The sequence below is a fragment of the Homo sapiens genome, chromosome 6, assembly GCF_000001405.40.
Source record: "Homo sapiens chromosome 6, GRCh38.p14 Primary Assembly".
Taxonomy (NCBI): Eukaryota; Metazoa; Chordata; class Mammalia; order Primates; family Hominidae; genus Homo; species Homo sapiens.
In genome coordinates, this window is record NC_000006.12 from 122,472,222 (window position 1) to 122,494,237 (window position 22,016).

The 22,016-nt window shown below is 36.6% G+C and overlaps 1 protein-coding gene across 4 annotated transcripts in view; it reads left to right on the top strand.

The window, feature by feature from the left end:
- Positions 1-22,016, top strand: part of PKIB (cAMP-dependent protein kinase inhibitor beta) — a 254,453-nt gene that overhangs the window by 301 nt on the left and 232,136 nt on the right. For 3 of the 4 annotated variants that reach the window (XM_047419002.1, NM_001270394.2, NM_181794.3), the window contains exon 2: positions 5,630-5,718. The gene's annotated coding sequence lies outside the window, so the exon portion shown is untranslated. Of the gene's footprint in view, positions 1-5,629; positions 5,719-9,925; positions 10,046-22,016 lie in introns of all 4 variants that reach the window. The other variant, NM_001270393.2, reaches the window with a different exon arrangement.

The window sequence follows — 22,016 nt, forward strand, 5'->3', positions numbered from 1 at the left end:
CCCACGTTTGCATCCTGTTTTGCTCTTGCGTTTGCAACGTATTCCTGCAGCCCGCTGCCCGGAACAAGTTTTATTGGGATATTTATATTCATCTGTGTGCTTCAGTTTCTCTGTATCATTTCTGTTTGCTATTGACTTATATTTTAATTTCTTATGCTATTAAGATGTTACAAGAAATTTGCACGTTAAAATTATTTTTAATTAGTTAGATAAGACATTATCAAACTCAAACATTGATTTCGAATGTCATGAGCTGTTGAGGCATGTGGAACCCTTGCATATTAGGTGATGATGCACATCTGCAGGGAATGCATTCCTATAAAAGTTCCAGTTATTTTTTTAGAGTTATTTGTTCTTGAAAATATTCTGGGAAACAGCTCAAACTTGAAATAGTCATTCCCATAACTAATAATAAGAAAGTGTTGTAAAATCTACAAAAATTGCATGGGTCGAGGTGGGGTAAACACCTAAGAATCTGGAAGAATGTCAGAATCCCTACTCCTAGTTATTGTAACCACTAAGGGACAATCTTGCTTTATTCTTCTTTGCCTTATCTGTGGTTTTGTAGACCACTCTTAAAGCAAAGTATTATAATAGAGCATCCATAAGGTTTAAAGAATTGTGGAAATGCTTGTAATCCCAGAACTTTGGGAGGCTGAGGCAGGCGGGTCACAAGGCCAGGAGTTCAAGACCAGCCTGGCCAGCATGGTGAAACCCCATCTCTACTAAAAATACAAAAAATTAGCCGGGCATGGTGGCACGCGCATGTAATCCCAGCTACTCGGGAGGCGAGGCAGGAGAACTGCTTGAACCCGGGAGGCAGAGGTTGCAGTGAGCCGAGATTGGGCCACTGCACTCCAGCCTGGGCTGCAGAGCGAGACTCCGTCTCAAAAAAAAAGAATAGTGGAAATGGAAATTACAAACCTAACAATATTTTTAATTATGCTAAACTTAATACGTTATTTATGGGAGAAGAGAATCCTAGTATCTCAAGTCCTTAAACTTTTCAAAGTACCAGAGAAGGAGACAAAAAACACTTATATGTGAGTAACTTTAAGGTCGTAAAGAATATGTTTATTAGCCAAATGGAGAATGGGTCTCTTAAAATTTAAATTTGCACAGATTCTTGTCTCTTGCTCCATTTAAGAGGGTTTCTGAGATATTCATAAGTTCTTGCACTATTCAATAGAGTTTTTTCACCTGAGATATTCAGAGTTAAATACAAAAGTCATATTAATCTTTCTGGAATGTAACACTTGGCCTTGAAATACATTAAAAAAAATTTACTTTTATTTAACCTGTAGGCTATGTGGAGTGGAATTTGCTCACTTAAGTTATTATATATACAACATTAATTGGACACGACAGTATATATAGACTATTTTATTCGTTAGAAGAGTCTTCGACACCAGTCTCATTTTTCTCTTTGCCAACTATGAAAGAAAATTGAAATGATGACTTTTTCAAATTTCAACCCAAACACAGCTCAAAGCATAGTTTTCTCAATATATACCAGCTATTAGTAGGAGCACCCATTTCTCCAGGTGACTTCCTGTAGCACACGTATAACTTACAATGCCAAAATTCAAATTAGTCTAAGTAAGTACGTTAGTAAAAAACATTCTATCTAGCTGAGCATGGTGGCTCACACCCATTATCTTAGCACTTTAGGTGGCTGAGGCGGGCAGATCACCTGAGGTCAGGAGTTCCAGACCAGCCTGGCCAACATGGCGAAAACCTGTCTCTACTAAAAATACAAAAATTAGCAGGGCATGGTGGCACACCTCTGTAATCCCAGCTACTCAGGAGGCTGAGGCTGGAGAATTGCTTGAACCCAGGAGGCAGAGGTTGCAGTGAGCTGGGATCGTGCCACTGCACTCCGGCCTAGGTGATAAGAGCAAAACTCTGTCTCAAAACAAACAAACAAACAAAAAAGCCATGCTATCTAATAACTCAGTTCTCTGACTTGATTAAGGGCTAGTATGCCAAAAAACAAAAAAATTGGAATATTGATTTTTTTGAGAATGTTACTAAGTAGCCATGCTGGAAGAAGTTTTCAGATAAGCTTGGATGGTACTGCCTGTTACATTCTTCTCTTGTGACTGATGTTGCATATTAGCATGTTCAATTCCTTCACTCCTAATGTTTTCTAAACTTGACCTTAAAAAATCTTTTTTTCTTATGAAATGTATTAATATGCACTGTAAGTGTTCCATGAAATATAGTTTAAGAAATACTGATGGAGGGAAGGATGGACTTCATAGCCTTCTGGCAGCCCTCCTAGAATATCTTTTCTCATAATTAAACTTTTGATCCATATGTGGCATCAGAGAGCTGAAGGTTATGTTTGTTGTCAAGAATCAGAGCATGAATGCTCTGTGTTGTCAATTAAGGACAAGACATAGACTTTAACATTCAAATAAATGGTATGTAAAATTAATAGTCTCTTAGGGAAATTCAGGAGAAAGACCAAAATACTTGTCAGAATAGACATGCACAGAAATGGGCTGGGAGATCTGTGGAGTACTATAGACAGGCTTAAGGTTTTCCTTAGAAGATAGTCCAGGTTCATTCTTACATATAGGTAAATGAATTCTCCCAGATAAACTATAGTTGTGACTATTGTACCCTGAGAAAAATGTAAAGCAGGATTACGAAGCTTATCCTAGCCATAGTAAAAATTTCAATAATGGATTCACAAAAATCAATATTAACCAATGTAATTTCAGAATGATTTAGGTACAAAATTTAGGTTTATGTAAGTCACTCTCAAATATAGATTTGTCAGTTATCAGTCATTTTGGTTTGTTGTTGTTCTTGTTATTGTTTTGAGACGTAGGCTTGCTCTATTGCCCAGGCTGGAGTTCAGTGGCCTGATCTCGGCTCACTGCAACCTCCACCTCCCAAATTCCAGCGATTCTCCTGCAACCGCTGCCTGGAGTGCAGTGGCCTGATCTCAGCTCACTGCAACCTCAGCCTCCTGAGGAGCTGGGATTACAGGCGTGTACCAAAACGCCTGGCCCATTGAATTTTTGAGAGAATACTAAAAATAATAATTTTATTTTCAGAAACCACATCTTCAGCATAAAGGAAAATAAATGTCAATAACCCTTCGCCACCTCTTGTAATTCCTGTTGAAATCCATAAGGTTATGCTGGGTGCAGTGACTCACATCTTATTTCCAACACTCCAGAGACTGAGGCAGGAGGATAGCTTGATCACAGGAGTTAGAGACCAACCTAGGCAACATAGTGAGACTTCATCTCTATAAAAGTAAAAATAGGCCGGGTGTGGTGGCTCACGCCTGTAATCCCAGCACTTTGGGAGCCTAAGGTGGGTGGATCACCTGAGGTCAGGAGTTTGAGAGCAGCCTGGCCAACATGGTGAAACCCTGTCTCTACTAAAAATACAAAAATTAGCTCGGTGTGGTGGCATGCGTCTGTAGTCCCAGCTACTCAAGAGGCCGAGGCAGGAGAATTGCTCGAACCTGGGAGGCAGAGGTTGCAGTGAGCTGAGATCACGCCACTGCACTCCAGCCTGGGTGACAGAGTGAGACTCTGTCTCAAAAAAAACAAGTAAAAATAAATAATCAATCCATAAGGATATGGTTTAGAATCATGTATATCACATTAAAAATTCCCAGTGTAACCTAGAATCAGTGTGTCTCCATCAAGGTTGACTAAAATTAGACTCATCTTTGGTCCCATAATCCTTCCTGCCTTTACACAAATCTCTGTATAAACTTTATTTTTTATCCTAATAAATGATCTATATCTCTGAAATATTGTGAGAGTGGAACAGATTTTAAGGAAAATAATCAGGTCATATTTTTCTGGAAATTAGAAATTATACTGCTTAGTTCTCTTGTCCTTAGTACATCAACACTAAATATAATGAGGACTGAAACATCTTGGCCCCCCCACAGTAGTTAAAGGATGAATAAAATTTGTGCATAGTTTGTTATATAATCCAAGGAGAGCAAAAATATAAAAAGTATTTTATGGCTTTTATCCTAAATTAGTTATATCTTAAATGTAAACATGTTTAAGTATTTCACAGATATTCTGAAAGGATAAGCCAAAAATAGATTAGGACACAGTAACCCATAGGGGTCAGTATAAACTTAGAATTGGAAGAGACCATATTCTGATTAAAGACATGCTTTTATCTGTTAAGACACACATTGATAGTTTTGGAAAATAATTCAAAACTAAGATACAGTGTCAAATGTACAAAAACTCTCTTCAATTATGGTCTTAATGTTAAAACAGCAAATGAACAATATTCTTTCCACACAGATTTTCTTATTTTGCTGAAATCTAAGCCTATAATTCCATAACAAGCAGATATGTTTATACCAGTGAAATAGATGTCTACAAAAATAAGTTTATTTCAGGCAGAACATACATAAATTCAGGAAAAAAGGAAATATTCACTGTGTAAATAATAAAGTGGATAGCAAATTCAAATATGTGTCTAATATTTAATGTACTATTTTATAATCATTGAGAAGGGAGTGACTTCTTGAAAAAGTGTAAATGACATTTCTAAAACATTTCACTTTTCAAGGGCAGATGTATTGACCTTGATAAAATAATGAAATTATATACTGAAGAAATTCTTCACATTCATTCACCCAAAACGTTATTTATTTGTGCTACAGAAAGGAATCAACTAGTTCGATTTGGCACTCATCAGATTTTTGAATTCTTATTAAACATGTTATTAAGGCAACGTCTAAATCAGCACCTTCCAATAGAAATGAAATGTGAATCACATTTGTAATTTAAAATTTTTTGTAGATGTATTAAAAGAAACGGATGAAATTAATTTTAAAGATGCATTTAATTGAACTCTATATCCAAAATATTTCAATGACATTAATATAAAAATTCTTAATAGAATGTTTTACATTATTTTTCATATAAGTCTTCAGAATCTGGTTGTGTTATATAATTAAGAGCACATCTCCATTTGGACCAGCATATTTCAAATGTCCAGTAGTCCCTATATTGGACAATGCAGGTCTGTAAGCTGAAGGAGAAAGTCGAGGCAATTATCCAGGTGATACAAGCTAAACAAGGAAGCAATCATATTTTTCTTTGTATAAGTTATTTAGATATTTCAGATAAAGTGGTTTTAAGCCTGTGCATTTGCTTTAGGTATTGAACCTAAATTGATTTCTTATATAAAAATCAGATATGAGAGATTTGTAAGAAGGATAAATGTTATATTCTGATAATCATTTAGGCTATCAAAGTACTATACTATATGATACTATATGAAATTTGCCAGATTTGACTTTATTTTCCAGTAATCCATATATTCCATTATGTTATTTTAGCCAATTTATCCTGATTTCTTTTTTATTCACCTGAATTTCTATGGCCTTAGCTGCTTTCTTTCCTCCAGAATTAATTGTAAGAATAGAATGATATCCAGAGGCCCTGACATTTTAAGTGGCCTGATCTCAAGCGACTTCAGACAGTGATTTTTTCTTCTTACCCAATTCTCTACACCTCACTCCACTGACTGTATTGTCCATTATTGCGTAAAACACTTTGGCAAATTCATACCTAAAGCTCTTTCTACTGAGTGATTAAGAACTTTGGGTACTTTTTCCTCACAGTTTTTACCCTGTTGAAGATTTGCTTTAACTTCAAAAGTGATGACAAGAAAGTATGGACACCCCTTCAGGACCAACCTGATAAGTCACTGGTAAGGTCTTAATTTCTCCATAAAGCTTCCTAATATTTTCTAGTATTAAGGTCTTCATATCCCGTAACCCGCTTTGCATCACCTGCAGAAATCCTAGGCTTAGCTGTTTGGTAGCATCTGGCTGTGTCATTTGTTCTATTATTTTTCGCAGGCTCCCACCTAGAGTCCTGTTATAGTGAAGGCTGGCTTCCACTAGTTTCCATTATTGCTTATGGGTCTGTCCCTTTCCTCCAGAAAAGTCCTATCTTTTTAAAGATGTAATGTCAGATGAAGCTTATGAGCCAACCACAGGCCATTTTTTTAATCGACATCTCCTGAAGGAAATTTTCTGCCTTAGCTGGCCTGACTTACTTGTATTTTGTGGCAGAATCCAGTCTTTCTAGGAATCATCCAGTTTTAAAAATCATCTCAGTGGTTGTAGAGCTGACAGCAGAATTCTCTCTACCTATTTTCTCCGCCATGGAGAAAGCATTCCCAGCATCATTTATACAAATGCTATGCACATTTCCACTTCCCAGCAATACTCATCCAGCAGTTTAGATGCCATGGGAGGGTACTCCATAGTTCAGTTCTATGGTATGCTTTGATACGGGCATGGCTGGACACTGCACATTGTTCAGCAATTCCAAATGGTAGTCTTTAGTAAGAGAAAAAACATAATTAGAGTCACTTAACATATTATGTGGCAGCGGGGGGTGGGGAAATATCCTTTAAGAAGTAGCTTTCACATACAAATGGAGTCCAAAATAGTGAACTTTTCCCATTGGATATTTATATGAATACAACCATGGATTAAATGCCAATAGGAGAAAGTGTTTTAGAGACATGCTTAAAATCTGGAGAAAGAAAACAAAAAACAAAAAAAACTCCTGCAGCCAGCTCAGTGTCTGCCCAAACAGCCACCCAGTTTTGTGCTTGAAACCCAGGGCCCTGGTGGCGTAGGCACTGGAGGGAATCTCCTGGTCAGTGGGTTGTGAAGACCGTGGGAAAAGCATAGTATCTGGGCTAGAATGCACCATTCTTCATGGCACAGTCCCTCACGGCTTCCCTTGGCTACCAGAGGGAGTTCCTCGACCCCTTGCACTTCCCGGGTGAGGTGATGCCCCACCCTGCTTCTGCTTGCCCTTCGTGGCTGCACCCACTGTCTAATCAGTCCCGATGAGATGAGCTGGGTACCTCAGTTGGAAATGGAGAAATCACCCACCTTCTACATTGAACTTGCTGAATGCTGCAGAGAGCTGTTCCTATTGGGCCATCTTGACTAATTGCAAGAATATTTTTAAGAGCCTTTCCAGGGCTTCTTGCTTTCTCTAGGCAGACTCTCAGAAGCTCTGTCCCAGACACATTAAAGCAGTAATAAGCAACTTAATATCTTAATCCTGCCCTGAGAAAGGTACTTCATACTTTATAGAGTTTTGAGGCACTAAGAATCAACAAAGGGGAAAAAAGTTCCTTATCCTAATTGAGTGGCCTAGGAAACAACATGTAGTATTATGACTATGTGTTTTAATTCTGTCAATTAGAACTCAAAATTTTCTTTTTAGTCAGATCAGTTCTATAGTTTTGATAAATATCACAAAACAGAAATGAGAGTACAATGCATTTACTCATGGGTGCTTAGACATCAGAAGTCTCATTATTTTCTTTGCCCTCTTTCCTAGCTGTTAATATAATGCTAAGATTAAGTTGACACATTGACTAGACTGTGATCTCTCTTTGCCCTCTGCTTTATTTAAAGATTTTCCTTTGGCGAGCAGTTATATATCAGGCACTCCCCAAACCCAACATCAGAGACACTCAAAATTGCCGTGAATATTCTAGTAGCAATCTCAAAAGTTTTAAGTTCTTTTGTATATAGATAGACTTGACACATTCTCTCAAAGCATATACTGTTTCTGGCTTTTCACTGTCTACAATGCCAGTGCCGGTATTGACTGTAAGAGCTTCCCATGGCATGAATAAACAGTGAAAAGGTCCAACAGAGCTTAAAGGTATATAGAAAAAATAATAGAAAGTTAAAAAAAGATTAAAGAAAACAATGAGTATATTTGTAGAAATAAGTGAGGTTAGTTCTATTTGATTTGTAGTGGCAACCATAGTCAATTTTTTTTTTTTTTTCTTGAGAGGGAGTCTCGCTCTGTCACCCAGGCTGGAGTACAGTGGTGCAATCTTGGCTCACTGCAAGCTCCGCCTCACAAGTTCATGTCATTCTCCTGCCTCAGCCTCCTGAGTAGCTGGGACTACAGGCGCCCGCCACCACGCCCGGCTAGTTTTTTGTATTTTTAGTAGAGACGGGGTTTCACCGTGTTAGCTGGGATGGTCTTGATCTCCTGACCTCATGATACACCCGCCTCGGCCTCCCAAAGTGCTGGGATTACAGGCTTGAGCCACCATGCCCGGCCTATAGTCAAATTTTTTAATAAAATTGCTAACCTACACTTAGTATATCCAATAACGAATGCACTATTTTGATTTTCAATTCTGATTTTATGCATGTTTGAGTAATCGATGCATACATATGTAATATTTTAATGTTAGTAATGATAAAGAACAACTACAATTTATTTAAATAATGCTTCAGGTACTTTTTCTATTCAAGTTATTTACTTAATCCAAAGGGAATAAATTTTTTGAAAATGTAGTAATAGTGATCCTGGAAAAATGTCATGTTCTATTTATATGCCTACAGTATTTACTCCATTTCTATCTCTTCCCTTTGATCTGTTTGATGGCTATGCCTGCCTTATATTTCTAAGAATTTTTTTTCAAACAATTTTTAGTGGGTTGTGGTGTTCATCTCCGTTTCTTACTGTACAAATACTTTTCTGTTAAATTTAAAGGTTACTCTCTAAAGCTTAGTAGGTGTGCTTTCATTTTCACACTGATAACTAAAATCCACATCATTACTAATCATAGACATGCATATGTGTTGATTATAAAGTGATATTGTACATACCACAAAATCAGAGATACAAAAATAATCTTTTGTTCTTTTTAAAAAACTTAATGTAGAAATATCATAAAATGAAGTTAAATTGAGTAAATCTTAAGACATCACTTAGTCAAGCTCCTTGCATCAAATCAAGCCCATGATTATATAAGTGTATAGAAAAGCCCACAAAAAATTAAAAAGAAAGCTTTTCAGTGGAAAACCTGACAGACACCTTATCCAAAAGATCAAAGTTTTAACATCACCAGTAATAGAACAAATAGGTTTCATGTGTCTTCTGATGTAATGCACTAAGGAGTGAGCACTATCACTCCTGAGGCATTTTTGCCAAAAACATATAAACGGGAATAAATCATGAAGAAATATCAGACAAACCCAAATTAAGGGACATTATGCAACATAAATGGCCTGTACTTTTCAAAATGTCTAGGTCATGAAAGAAAAGGACTAAGAAACTGCCCAGATTAAAGGAAACCAGAGACTTGACAACTAAATGCCACATGTAATCATGGATTAGATACTGGAGCAGAAATAACAATACTAATAAATAATTACTGTTACTGCTGTAAAGAACATTATTGAGACAATTAGCAAAATTTGAATGGGGCTTGTGAATTACAAAGCAGTATCATATCAAAACTGATTTTCTGTTTTTGATTGTTATAATGTGGTTATGTAGAAAAGTATTATATTTTTGAAAATGTACATTGTAGTATATGGGAGTAAAAAGGATCATGTTGGAAATTTATTCTCAAACGGTTTACAAAACAGTATGTATGTGTGTGTGTGTTTGTGTGTGTACATACACACACATTGTGTAAAGTAAACAAGATAAAATTTTAATATTTGGTGAATAGAGGTGAAAGATATATAGTAAATTTTGTACAGTGTTTGCAACTTTTCTGAAGTCAGAAATTAGTTCAAATTTTTTTTAAATATTGCTTTGGCTTCCTATTTTACCTGTAGTTAACTGTGTCAAAAATATGCTAATTATGTTATCAACACCCAGGGTTTTTGTAATCTCGCAATATTGAAATCAAGAGACATCACAGAACACAGCAGCAAAGGTAAGTTTTGTTTTTTTTTTTTGAGGCGGAGTCTCGCGGTAGCCCAGGCTGGAATGCAGTGGCGCGATCTCGGCTCACTGCAGGCTCCGCCCCTCTGGGGTTCACGCCATTCTCCTGCCTCAGCCTCGCGAGTAGCTGGGACTACAGGCGCCCGCCACCTCGCCTGGCTAATTTTTTGTATTTTTGGTAGAGACGGGGTTTCACCGTGTTAGCCAGGATGGTCTTGATCTCCTGACCTCGTGATCCGCCCGCCTCGGCCTCCCAAAGTGCTGGGATTACAGGCGTGAGCCACCGCGCCCCGGCAGCAAAGGTAAGTTTAATTTTATTCCAGCTTGTGCTCAAGGGAGCTAGCACTGAGAAAGGAAAAAGGAGTTGGCTGTTCCCTGAGGGTAGTGTGTGGGTTAATTTAATAGGCTCTTTTCATAGGGAAAGGTTATATTAGGGCATATATAGGACAGCTTTTTCTAGTGCTTGCACAGTAGCTCAACATGCTTCTCCATACATTACATGTAGCATTAGCATTTAAAATCTCCACCCTTGTGTGTGAATTTTAGCATTAAAATGAGGAAGAGATAACTTTAGGTTGGATTTTTTTTTTTTTTTTTTTTTTTGCAGATGGAGTCTTGCTCTGTCACCCAGGCTGGAGTGCAGTGGTGCGATCTCAGCTCACTGCAGCCTCCGCCTCCCGGGTTCAAGTGATTCTCCTGCCTCATCCTCCTGAGTAGCTGGGATTATAGGCATGCGCCACCACACCCGGCTAATTTTTGTATTTTTATTAGAGACGGGGTTTCACCAAGTTGGTCAGGCTGTTCTCGAACTCCTGACTTCGTGATCTGTCTTCCTTGCTCTCCCAGCGTGCTGGGATTACAGGTGTGAGCCACTGTGCCCGGCCACTTTAGGTTGGATTTAAAGTCCAACTGCACGTGCAAGGCTCTGGGGAAATCCCTACCCCGCTGAAATAGGAGCTTGCTGTTAAGTTTCTTGGGTCTCTTGTCACTGATTGGCTGAAAGTTAAATAAGCTAGTGTTTGAGTGAGGGGCTTTATCGTTTCCTTTAGACCATCTTAAAATAGGGACTCAACCAGCCTGCTTGTCTTAATCATATAAATTTATTTAAAATTATCTTAATAAACCAGAACGTGGAGACTATTTTTTTAAAAGAATTATTTGTCGAAGTATTACATTTTTAGTAAGTTATCTCTTTTTCTTCTGTAGCTTCCTCATTTTTAAATTTAAACCAGACAAAAAGTTTCAGTATACAGCATAAAGAACATTTGATGAAAATTTGATGGAAGTAATTTAAACAACTATAAATACATTAATTTATATCAATTTTTGATTATGGGAGAGTAATAATCCTTTATTACAAGTTGAAACATCCCCTGAATACATTAGAATGAATGCTACTGAAAACAGAAATAATTTTTACAATTATCTGCCACATATCATAATGCCTCAGACAAATTTTGTGTATGCATATAGAAGATGAAAAATTATTTCCTAATACACTCCTAGGTTTTCTGGTTAGAGTCCTCTAAATTAAATTGACAAAAGGCAGAAAAATAAGGGGAAAAAAACACAAAAGTTTATTAACATATGCATTGTGCATGTAACATATACCCAGAGATGAGTAACTCAAAGGTTTGGTTAGAACTTGGACTTATATAGGATTTCAGCAAAGAAACAATTTTTAGAAAAATGACAAGAGTCTCTAGGAGTGGCAGATTGTGCGAAGGCAAATATATGGGAAACTAGGTAAATAAAGGCTAGTTTGCAAAGTTTGTTATATACAGTCCTCTGATTCTGTCTGCAGGCTGTAAGGGTCTAAAGCTGTCTCTGGTAATTAAGTTTTGTCCTTCCTTGTAGAAAGCGGGGGACAACTTTGTAAATTTATGTCCTGCTTTTAGATGACAGAAGAACAGAGAGCTTTTCTTGTATCTTTTTCTTCTCAATTGCCTTCAGCACAAAGTAATCCTTGTGCCAAAGTGGAAAAGTTTGCTGTGGCATATTCTGCCACCCTACCATAGCTAGGATAGAATACATCTGTACGTGAAGGTCTTTGAGGGCAGAGGCCAGATTAATTTGTAGAGTTTTACTGCCATCACCTAACCTAGTGCTTGACATGGAGAAGGGGCTTGGTAAACAATTGAATGAATTAATGAATTTGGTTGTGCCTTCCATATTTTCCGCACAACACTCTTGAAGTAAATAAAGAAAAAAAAAGGAAAAAAGAAAAAAAAAACCACTCTTGCAGTAAATATATTCATATACTTTTAAATACTATTCTAAGGTCAAAAACACCTTTATCAAATATCTAAAAGCTAATGTGAAGAAAATTACATGAACACCAACCAAATTGTATAAAATAATTTCGTATGCTTGGTTTATGTACTTGTTTTGAAAAGTGGGATTTTGCCTTAGAAATCAGAGGCCACTTTACATCTTAACTGAGAATCATTTTCGTCAACTCTTGGAACAAGGACAATTGCAAGGAATAAATATGACTTAATTTTTGGAAGATGTATTCTGTGAAGAACTGTTATAGTAAGAGGAATTATTTATTCTTATAAAAAGAAGAATCTTGAAATAAAAAGGGGCAGTCCCAAAGTGAAGGGATCATTTTCAGTAGGTTTGCTATTTTCCTTATCAGAAATTCACAGCACACATTACTTTTTTAAGACTTTGACAAATACTGCCATAAATAAAATTATTTAATATTGTTTAATCCAATGTTTCTTAAATGTGTATGATCTCAAACCCTGAAACAAAACAACATATCACATCCCGTGGATCATCATTTAGGAAAACACTATTAAAATGTTAAAGCAAACTAAATATGGTCTGAGAAGGACTCCGTACTTCTATATTTGAGTCCTTGTGGATGAGCTGCAGCCTGACTTGATAGGTAGACAAGATTGAAAACCTAACTTAGGAGTATGCGCCAGAAACAATAGATGAGTTTTGGCCAATCCTAGCAGCAGAAGTTCAACCACTCTTACACTGCCTCGTGTTCAAACTGTGTTCAAATAAGGCAAATGCTGAGCTGTAATCAATCTAGTTGTTTCTGTACCTCACTTCCAATTTCTGTACTTCACTTCCCTTTTTTTGGCCTATAAATCTGCCACCATGTGGCTGCTCTAGAGTCTCTGAATATGCTGTGATTCTGGGGGCTGCCTGATTTGTGAATCGTGCCTTGCTCAATTAAACTCCTTTAAATTTAATTCAGCTGAAGTTTTTCTTTCAACAAAAATATTCTTTTTTTTTTTTTCCTGGAATGTGGTAGCTAGGTGGTCTGTATTTTTACTGAGAATAAAATGAGACAAAATGGAAAAACTGAATTAATCTATTACATGAGATATAAATAAGAGGCCTAAGTATTTATACATTGAAATTATTTCCCAAAGGAGAATTAGAATCTCACTGAAAATAGAAGAGCTAGTCATCTATAAAGTATTAATTTTGAAGGTTTAGGTTAAAATATTAGAACAAACTAATGTATCAAAGTGGCATCATTCTTTAGGTAAAAGATATGTCAGTGGTAAAAACAACATTAAATTTTCTGGAATAATTAGGCTTCAGGATAGCATCAGTCGTGTGTTACTGGAATACAGAAATCAGGATCTAAGGGAAGCACACGTGGTAAACAAAAATCACGTTTAATAACAAAGGAGAGTGGTTAACACATTTCCAATTCAAAACTAGAAGAGTAGAATCTAGTAAGGATGGCTAGTTTAATAGCAGAGCCATCAAAGGCAGTGTTAAAGCGGAAGGATGGTGGCAGAAATCATTAGCAGTCGAGTGCCTGAGTATTGAATGTTGCATCTGTTGAAGTCTTTATCATGAATTAGCAGTGACTGTGCTTTGGTAGCATGGTTGGATTCACTGTAACTTTTGGATTATTGCTGTATGTCTTGCCTTTTGTCTTTTTGCATGGAAGTAATTGTCACCAAAAATTGTCTCTCTTCTATTTTTTTGTCCCAAATTTACAACATATGTCTTTTCTTAGGAGAAATTTCTGGTGCCAGTTGATTGTTTCTTTCTAGAAATAACATATTCATAGACACATACACAAATGTGGCTAATTCATCACAAAATATACCCATGTAACCTCCACATTACCCCCCTGACTCTAAAATAAAAATAAAAACAAATGTAGCTGATAAATTGAATAGCCAAACTTAAAAATAAACTTTTTTTCTTTTAAATCCATCACTGTCCCTATTAAACTTGTGAGCCAGCTTCTTTCTGCAGAAATTGAAAAAGTCTTGAGTCCAGTTTCATCATTTCTGGTTGTTTCAGATGATAAAAAGTCCTCCAGTCATTTTATTCCCCCTAAACCAGTCGCAATTCAATTATTGTTATCTTTCTTTCAGAATAATAAGTATGGCATTTAAAAATATTATGCAATTATTTGTTCTCTTGTTTTGGTTTCTTTTTTGAGGATTCCAACCATAGTTGCTTGATCCACCCTCGTCTTCTATATTTATTATTTCATGTTTAATGCATTTTAAGTTTATTTCTGTTATACATTTTCATTTATAAGTTTCATCCTCTATGTTCCAATAGTATCTAACTTCCATTATGTTCCTTCTAATTTCATTTCTCATATTAGTTTTTTGTGTGTATGATTTTTTTTCTTTATCTCTTGTTTCTTTCTAGTTTTTCTACTAATGTGTATCTCCTTTTATTGTCTTACCATTTCTTCCTCAAGTTCTAACATTTCTGCTTTATGGTATTCTAGTTAGAGTGAATTTTATTAATACATTTTTAATTTTATGGCAGAGTATTTGATCACAGTTTGAATCTGCACCATGACATTTTTCATGTAATTTTACTTTTGCTTTTTAAAAGTACTGTGTTTTAAAACATCTTAGTTGAAATAACTCTAGATTTGCAGAAAAGTTATAATACTATGAAGAATTCCATCTACCCTTTATCCCAATTCCCCAAATGTTAACCTTTTGCCACACTTGCTGTCTGTCTATCTATCTATCTAACTACTATTTTCTGAATCAATTAAAAATAAGTTGTAGACATGATGCTGTATTTCATGTAACTACATAAATATTTATTTCTTCAAATGTAAAAGCATTTTACTGCATAACCACAATGTACCAAAATCAGAAAATTAATAGGTAAAATGCTTCTTTCTACATTGAACATATTCACATTTTGCCAATTGTCCCAGTGATATATTTTATAACAAAAAAATAAATAAATAGTTTATCTGGTCCAGGGTCCAATAGAGGATTATGTGTTGCATTTAGTTGTCATGTCTCTTGATTATCTGACAATCCAGAACCCATATTCAGTCTTTTCTTTCATGACCTTGTTATTTTTTTGAAGAATGAAAGTTAGTTAAATTGTATCATACCTCTTATGTTTAGATTCATCTGATATTTCTTTGTGATTAGATTCAGCTTGTTATGTTCTGAATATTCATGTTTGTGTTCACCCCCCAAAATTCATACATTGAAACCTAATCACCAGTGTGATGGTATTAGAAGGTGGGGCCTTTTGGGAGGTGATGAGGTTGTTAGGGGACAGCCTTCATGATTGGGATTTATGCTCTTATAAAAGAGACTCCAGAGAGCTAACTAGCGCTTCTACCATGTGAAGACACAGCAAGAAGGTGCTGTTTTGTTGTGTTTTGAGACAGGCCCAACTGTAGCATCAGCTGACTCCATGGGGAAGCTCTGGATGACCCTTTAGTCTTGACTGGAAGCAGACTCTCACCAGACACCAAATCTATTAACACTTTGATCATAGACTTCCCAACCTCCAGAAATGTGAGAAACAAATTTCTGTTGTTTATACGCTACCCAATTTAAGGTTTTTAGTTATAGCAGCCTGAATGAACTAAGTCACAGCTTAGGCATTCAGGACAGGGATATGAGAGAAGCGATGCTGTGTTCTTCTCATTGTATTAATACTGCATCAGTAAACATATGGTGCTGATTTGTCCCATTACTGATGATAACACATTTATCACTCGTTTAAAGTGATATCTTCCAGGTTTCTCAATTGTAAAGTTTCTGTTTCTCTCTTTAGTAAGTATTTTGGAGGGATATGTTTTTAGACTGTAAATATGTTGTTCCTCAGTAATTATTTACCCATTCATTTCAGCATCCATCCAAGGTTCTTATCTCAATATGTTCTTATTATGGCTACCAAATTGTAATTTTCTCATTTCATCATTCTTTCTACATTTAACTTGCATTTGGCTGGAAGTAATAGCTTTTTCTTTCATATATATATATTCATATATATACACACACACACGCATGTATGTACACACACAAACACACACATCTCCTTATAGATTTCTGTTTATTTAATGAGTTTATAGTCTATTGTTATAATTATTTATCTTGTTGCTCTATTTGCTACGTATTTGGCAAACGGGGAAACCCCCCACCTAGAAGCTGAATACTGTCTTTTACTTTTTCCCTTCATATTCTTTTGTTTGAGCTCTTCTTTTCTGGCACAAGATCTTCCAGGGTCTCACTGTGTTGCCCAGGCTGGAGTACAGTGGTACCATCATGGTTCACTGCAGCCACTCCCTCCCTGGACTCGGGTGATTCTCCTGCCTCAGATTCCAGAGTAGTTGGGACAACAGGCACACCATTATGGCCAACTAATTTTTGTATTTTTTTTTTGTAGAAATGGGGTTTTGCCATGTTGCCCAGGCTGTTCTCAAACCAGTTTATATTATTCTTTCATTTCTCCAAGGAGCTCTTGTTCTACGTTAGAGAAGAATGATACTTAGAAACCAACATTGGAGCACTACGTCTGCTCACTGCTCCTGGGATTAATTGCTTCTAGGCTTTCCCACCAGGCAGAGGTAGAAAATGTCTGTCACTCACATACACAAACATTTGTATCTACTTCTGTATCTATCTGTCTATCTCTGTCTATCTAAGAAATTGTGTGTTCCCAGTGATAATTCCAATTGAAACATAATACCACAGGGATCATTCTGGCCATTGGCTTTTCATATTTGTAACTCATTTATCCAATAGTGAGAAACTTGGTTCTCATTATTCTCAATTTATTCACTTATTTGCTTTTTCCTCCTGTATATAATCAAACTCCTGACCCAGAAAGTTGCCTTCTAGGCCCTGCCCACCTCAATAGCCCCAATAGTTTCCTTGGTCCTAAAGTTTCTACTTGTGTTAGCTGCCTCAAAGGACAGGAAGTAAAAAGAATTAATAGATTTTTTTAAAGAAGGGGGAAAAATAAGAGACTTTTAAAAATAGTATTTCATTTATTATTATTATTATTATTATTATTGTTATTATTATTATTTTTGAGAAAAGTCTTGCTTTGTTGCCCAGGCTGGAGTGCAGTGGTACAGTCTCAGCTCACTTCAACCTCTGCCTCCCAGGTTCAATTTATTCTCCTGCCTCAGCCTCCTGAGTAGCTGGGATTACAGGCACCTGCCACCACACCCAGCTAATTTTTGTATTTTTAATAGAAATGGGGTTTTGCCATGCTGGCAAGGCTGGTCTTGAACTCCTCACCTCAAGTGATTCAGCTGCCTCAGCCTCCCAAAGTGCTGTGATTACAGGCATGAGCCTGGCCAAAACAGTAATTTAAAAATGGATTCTCTCCTTTTAAAATACTACTTATCATTGAATGAGTTAGGCTTTCCTGGACTGGCCATTTGTAAGAGGTTTCTTTTGGGATATGAAGGAAAGATAAAGTTTCTGGCTAAGTAATTTTCATAGAGCAAAAGCTTTCTCCTTTCCTGTTACAGAGTCATGTTACTTCTTATAAATATGATTTTTCTGTATAATTCTTTTTATAGCCCCAGGCCTTCTTAAGAAGAAAGACATGACAACTCAATCCATTCAGTCTTTGTACTAACGGTCACAAAAAAGGAATATTACTTTTTGGCTTCACAGTATACCCACACTTTCAGGAAGTATATTTTGCAAGTGCTTTTTGAGATCTATTTTTCAGTGGATCCCTGCTCTTGAGATTTATCACCAGGGATTCTTGTTTTCACTGCCCTTTCTGTGTATACAAAAAAATGTCATGTGCTTTTGATAGTGTTTGATATAAAATGGAGTCTGGGAGTTAAATATGCATCCAAGTTCTTCAAAAATAGTTTGCAAACTTATGAAAGCTTCTTCTTGTAGCTTTTGAATAATTTCCAAGAAAAAGGGAAAATGCTGATTTATAGAGTCATTCAAATTGTGTCTAAGTCCTCCAAAAATGTTTTTCAAACTTATAAAAGCATCTTCTTGTAGCTTTTGAATAATTTCCAGGAGAAAGAAAAGGTGCTGCTTTATATAGTTATGTTTGTAGTTGTCACATGTTGGCTTCTTCAGGAAGGAGGCTCTGAGATGAAGTTTAGCGTGAGGATGTTTATTAAAGTGTGCCCTTACCAAAGAGATCAATACAACTGGCAGGGAGGGAAAGAAAACAGTAGTAGTATTATGGTTTGGATGTTTACCTCTTCCAAATCTTATGTTGAAATATGATTCCAAATGTTGGAGGTGGGGACTGGCGGGAGGTGATTGGATCATGGAGAAAGGTCCCTCATGAGTGGTTTAGCACCATCCTCTCGGTGATGAGTGAGTTTCCTTTCAGTTCACACAGAGATCTGGTTGTTTTGAATCTGGGACCTCTCCCTTCTCTCTTTCTTGCTCTCATTCTCATCATGTGGCATATTGGCTACCCTTTGTCTTCCACCATGAGTGTAAGCTTCCTGAGTGCCTCAGCAGAAGATGACAGCACTATGTTTCGTGTACAGCCTGCAGAACCATAAGCCAATTCAACCTCTTTTATTTATAAATTCCTCAGTCTCAGCTATTTCTTTATAGCTAGCAAAAATTGCCTAATACAAGTAGGCAGAGGAAGAAGTTGTGCTGTGATACAGCCCAGCTTTAGCCTCAGCTGAATCCATAGGGAAGCTCTAGAACTAGAATGACCCTTTAGAGTTGCCTGAATGGGGCTAAGATCACCCATCAGTGATTATGTTAGTGGCAGTGAATCTATACTGGTCTCCAGCAACCTCAGTTCCTGCCTCCTCAGAAGAAAAAATTTGAGGGGCATAAAGGAGAAGAAGAGACTGAGACAAGTTTTAGAGCAGGAGTGAAAGTTTATTAAAAAGCTTTACAGCGGGAAGAAAAGTACACTAGGAAGAGGCCCAAGCAGGCCACTTGAAGGACAAGTGTGGGGTTTGACCTTTTGACTTGGGGTTTTATATCTTGACATACTTCCATGGTCTTGCATCCCTTATCTCTTTATTCTGCACTTGGAGCTGCCTGTTCTCATGCACAGTGTGTTACTGGAGTTATACGCATGCTCACTTGAGGCATTCTTCTCTTTACCAGTGGAATGCTTCTGGAAGGTCATATACCAGTTAAACTCCACCATTTTGCCTCTTAATGTGCATGCTTGAGCTCACTCACCCAATTCCTGAGATCTTTTTGGGAATCATCTATTATTATTTTAGAGAGGCAGTGTGACAACTGCCTGACCATCACCTGATGGTCACCTGACATTCCTGTTGGAGTTGGGGGAGCCCTCTCCTCCCCCGCTCATGCCTGGCTAGCTACCTACTGTAAAAATTAGTCATTAACGTAGGCCTCTAGAAGGGACGTGTGGCCTTGGGCAAACCAAGTCTTCCTGAAGAAGTGAACAGCTGAAAGATGTCTGCAGATAGCACTCCTCACTACTGGTGCAACAAGTCATTTCTTGAAAATAGGTTGTGGAAGCACATTTCAGTGTCCTGGTGCATAGCCTTTGAATACACACTCCTCTGAGTTATAGTTTTGATCTGATTTCATAGCCATTTATGACTCAAAAATATCAAGAATCACTGCATTATTGGGAACATTCATTATTTCTGTACCTTGTTTTTATCTAGAAAACTAAGGTTAATCTAGAAAGATTTGAGCTGAATTTCTAAAGCTACTCGGTAAAAATAAATATGTTGTTTTTACAGTCAGCAAATTTTCTTTAGTTATATGTTAGAATTATGAGTACTGAAAGCCCTTTGTAATTCCACTACATTACTAAAAGCTAAGACTCACCAACTGTGGATTAGTTACGCAGATATTTCAAAAACACTTGGAGGTTTTATTCAGAGGCTTAAGCCACACATCTCAGCGCTTGAGAGGGTAGCCTAGAACCAAGAGGGGGCAGCAGAGGGCCACCAGAACAGTGAGGGAGAGGTATGAGAACATGTCAGTTGAAAGGATACTGATTTTAGAGAGAGAAATACATTTATGTATTCATGCTAAACACAGAAGGAGGAGTTATGGCTTAAGAAAAATTGATTGTAAGCATATTGAGAGAATCTCTGGTTGTTCGTGGGTAGTGTTCATGGGACAAAAACTGAGCAGAGGAAAAGCAAGTAGAATTCAGGTTATAGGGAAGTCATGAGCTTCTTAGGGAACGTGTGCCTTTTAGATCTACGACCTATGGTTACTTCGGGCTCTTTATCACTGATAACATTAAGCACTCAGGGAACAATATGGGACCAGCGATAGCCTCAGTAATGTTTCCAGATATATATTTATATTGCTTTTCCACTAATTCCTAGACCAGAGTAATGGACTTAAGAGACATTCTTTCAAAGAAAATTTTTCCCCAAAGAACCAGTTTTTGCTTTTAGTGATCAAACTACATTTTCCTCTCAGTTTCTAGTTTGACTTATTATTTTTATAACTCTAACATTTTATGTTTTATTTTATTGAAGCATTTGTTCTTTTTATATTTTTCTGTAAAGTAATTTAAGCATAAGAGGTTATGAGTTTGCCCCAGTATAGCTTTATCATATCTTATATATATTTTAAGAGAAAGAGTTTTTTTTTTTTTAATTTTCTCAATATTCTTTACTGGAAGCTTTGGTTTCCTTTTAACCCAATAATTATTTAAGACATGTTTTCCATTTTCCACAAAGGCAAGCCTTTTTGTTTAAGCCATTGTCATTAAATTACAGTTTTATTACATTTTAGTCAGAAGATATGACTTTTATTACTTCTACTCTGGCATAAGGTTTTGTGTCCCAGTAGATAATTAATTTCTCTTTCATGAATTATTGAAAAGGATATATTTTCTATTACAAGTTATCTATTGTCTATCTAAACTCAACTTCATTAATTAGGTTAATTTTAGACTTTCCAATATTTTCCGAATTTTTAAAAAGAAATCCCTTTGAACTGTCAAAGCATGATGCTATGGTCTGAATATCTGTGTCCCCCCTGCAAATCTACATGTTGAAACTTAATCACCAATGTTACTGTGTTAGGAGTTAGGACCTTTGGGAAGTGAATGAGATCAGTGCTCTTATAAATTGGCTCCAGAGAGCTCCTTCGTCCCTTTCACCATGTGAGGACACAGCTAGAAGACACCATCTGTGAACCAGAAAGTGAGTCCTTATCAGACACTGAATCTGCTGGCACCTTGACTTCTTAGCCTTCAGAAATGTGAGAATTAAATTTCTGTTGTTTATAAGATACACAATTTATGATATGTTGTTATAACAGCCCAAACATATATGATGTATTGAAATCTTCTATGAAAAATTGTGTGATTTTCCTCAATTTCTTCATGTTTCTAACAGATTTTATTTTATTATGCATATCTGAAGCTGTGCTTTTCAGCATATAAATGTTTATTGTTCTATAACTTTGATATAGGTAGTGCCTCATAAGTAGTACCTCTTGTCTGAGAGTCTATTTTGTTTTCTTCCATGACCCTGTGAACTCCAAGGAGTTTTCTAAAATATTTTCTGCTTTGGTAGTATGCAAAATTCCTAGGCCTGAAATTTCTTTAATTATCTTTACATGAGGGGTGGTCTAGCTAGTCCAGTCTTTGCCGACTTAACCTTGGTCTTCCTCTCTGTACCTTCACTCTAGTTATATTGAATTCTGGACCACAGCCAGGGACCACATTGTTCCCACTAATCCTGTTCTTGCAGTCATTTATCTACTGTGGCTCTTCTGGAAAGAAACGGGATCTTCTCCCATCCTCTCTGCTTGCTTTATTGCTTGCTTTAAATATTTAACTATTTTATTAAGTTGTCCTTAAGAGTCATGAGACATATATGCCCATGTTAATATCAAATAAAAATTTTGAAAAACCTATTAGTAATTTAAAATCAATTACTAAATCCCACTTTATATACGGCCAAGTTAATTCCACACAGACCTTGAACTTTCTTATTTGAGAACATGCTTGATTAATTCAAATTAAATCCAAACACCAAAAGTTCAGAAAACTTGAAAGGAATGCTATGGCATTAAAAAACTTTCATTTAATCTT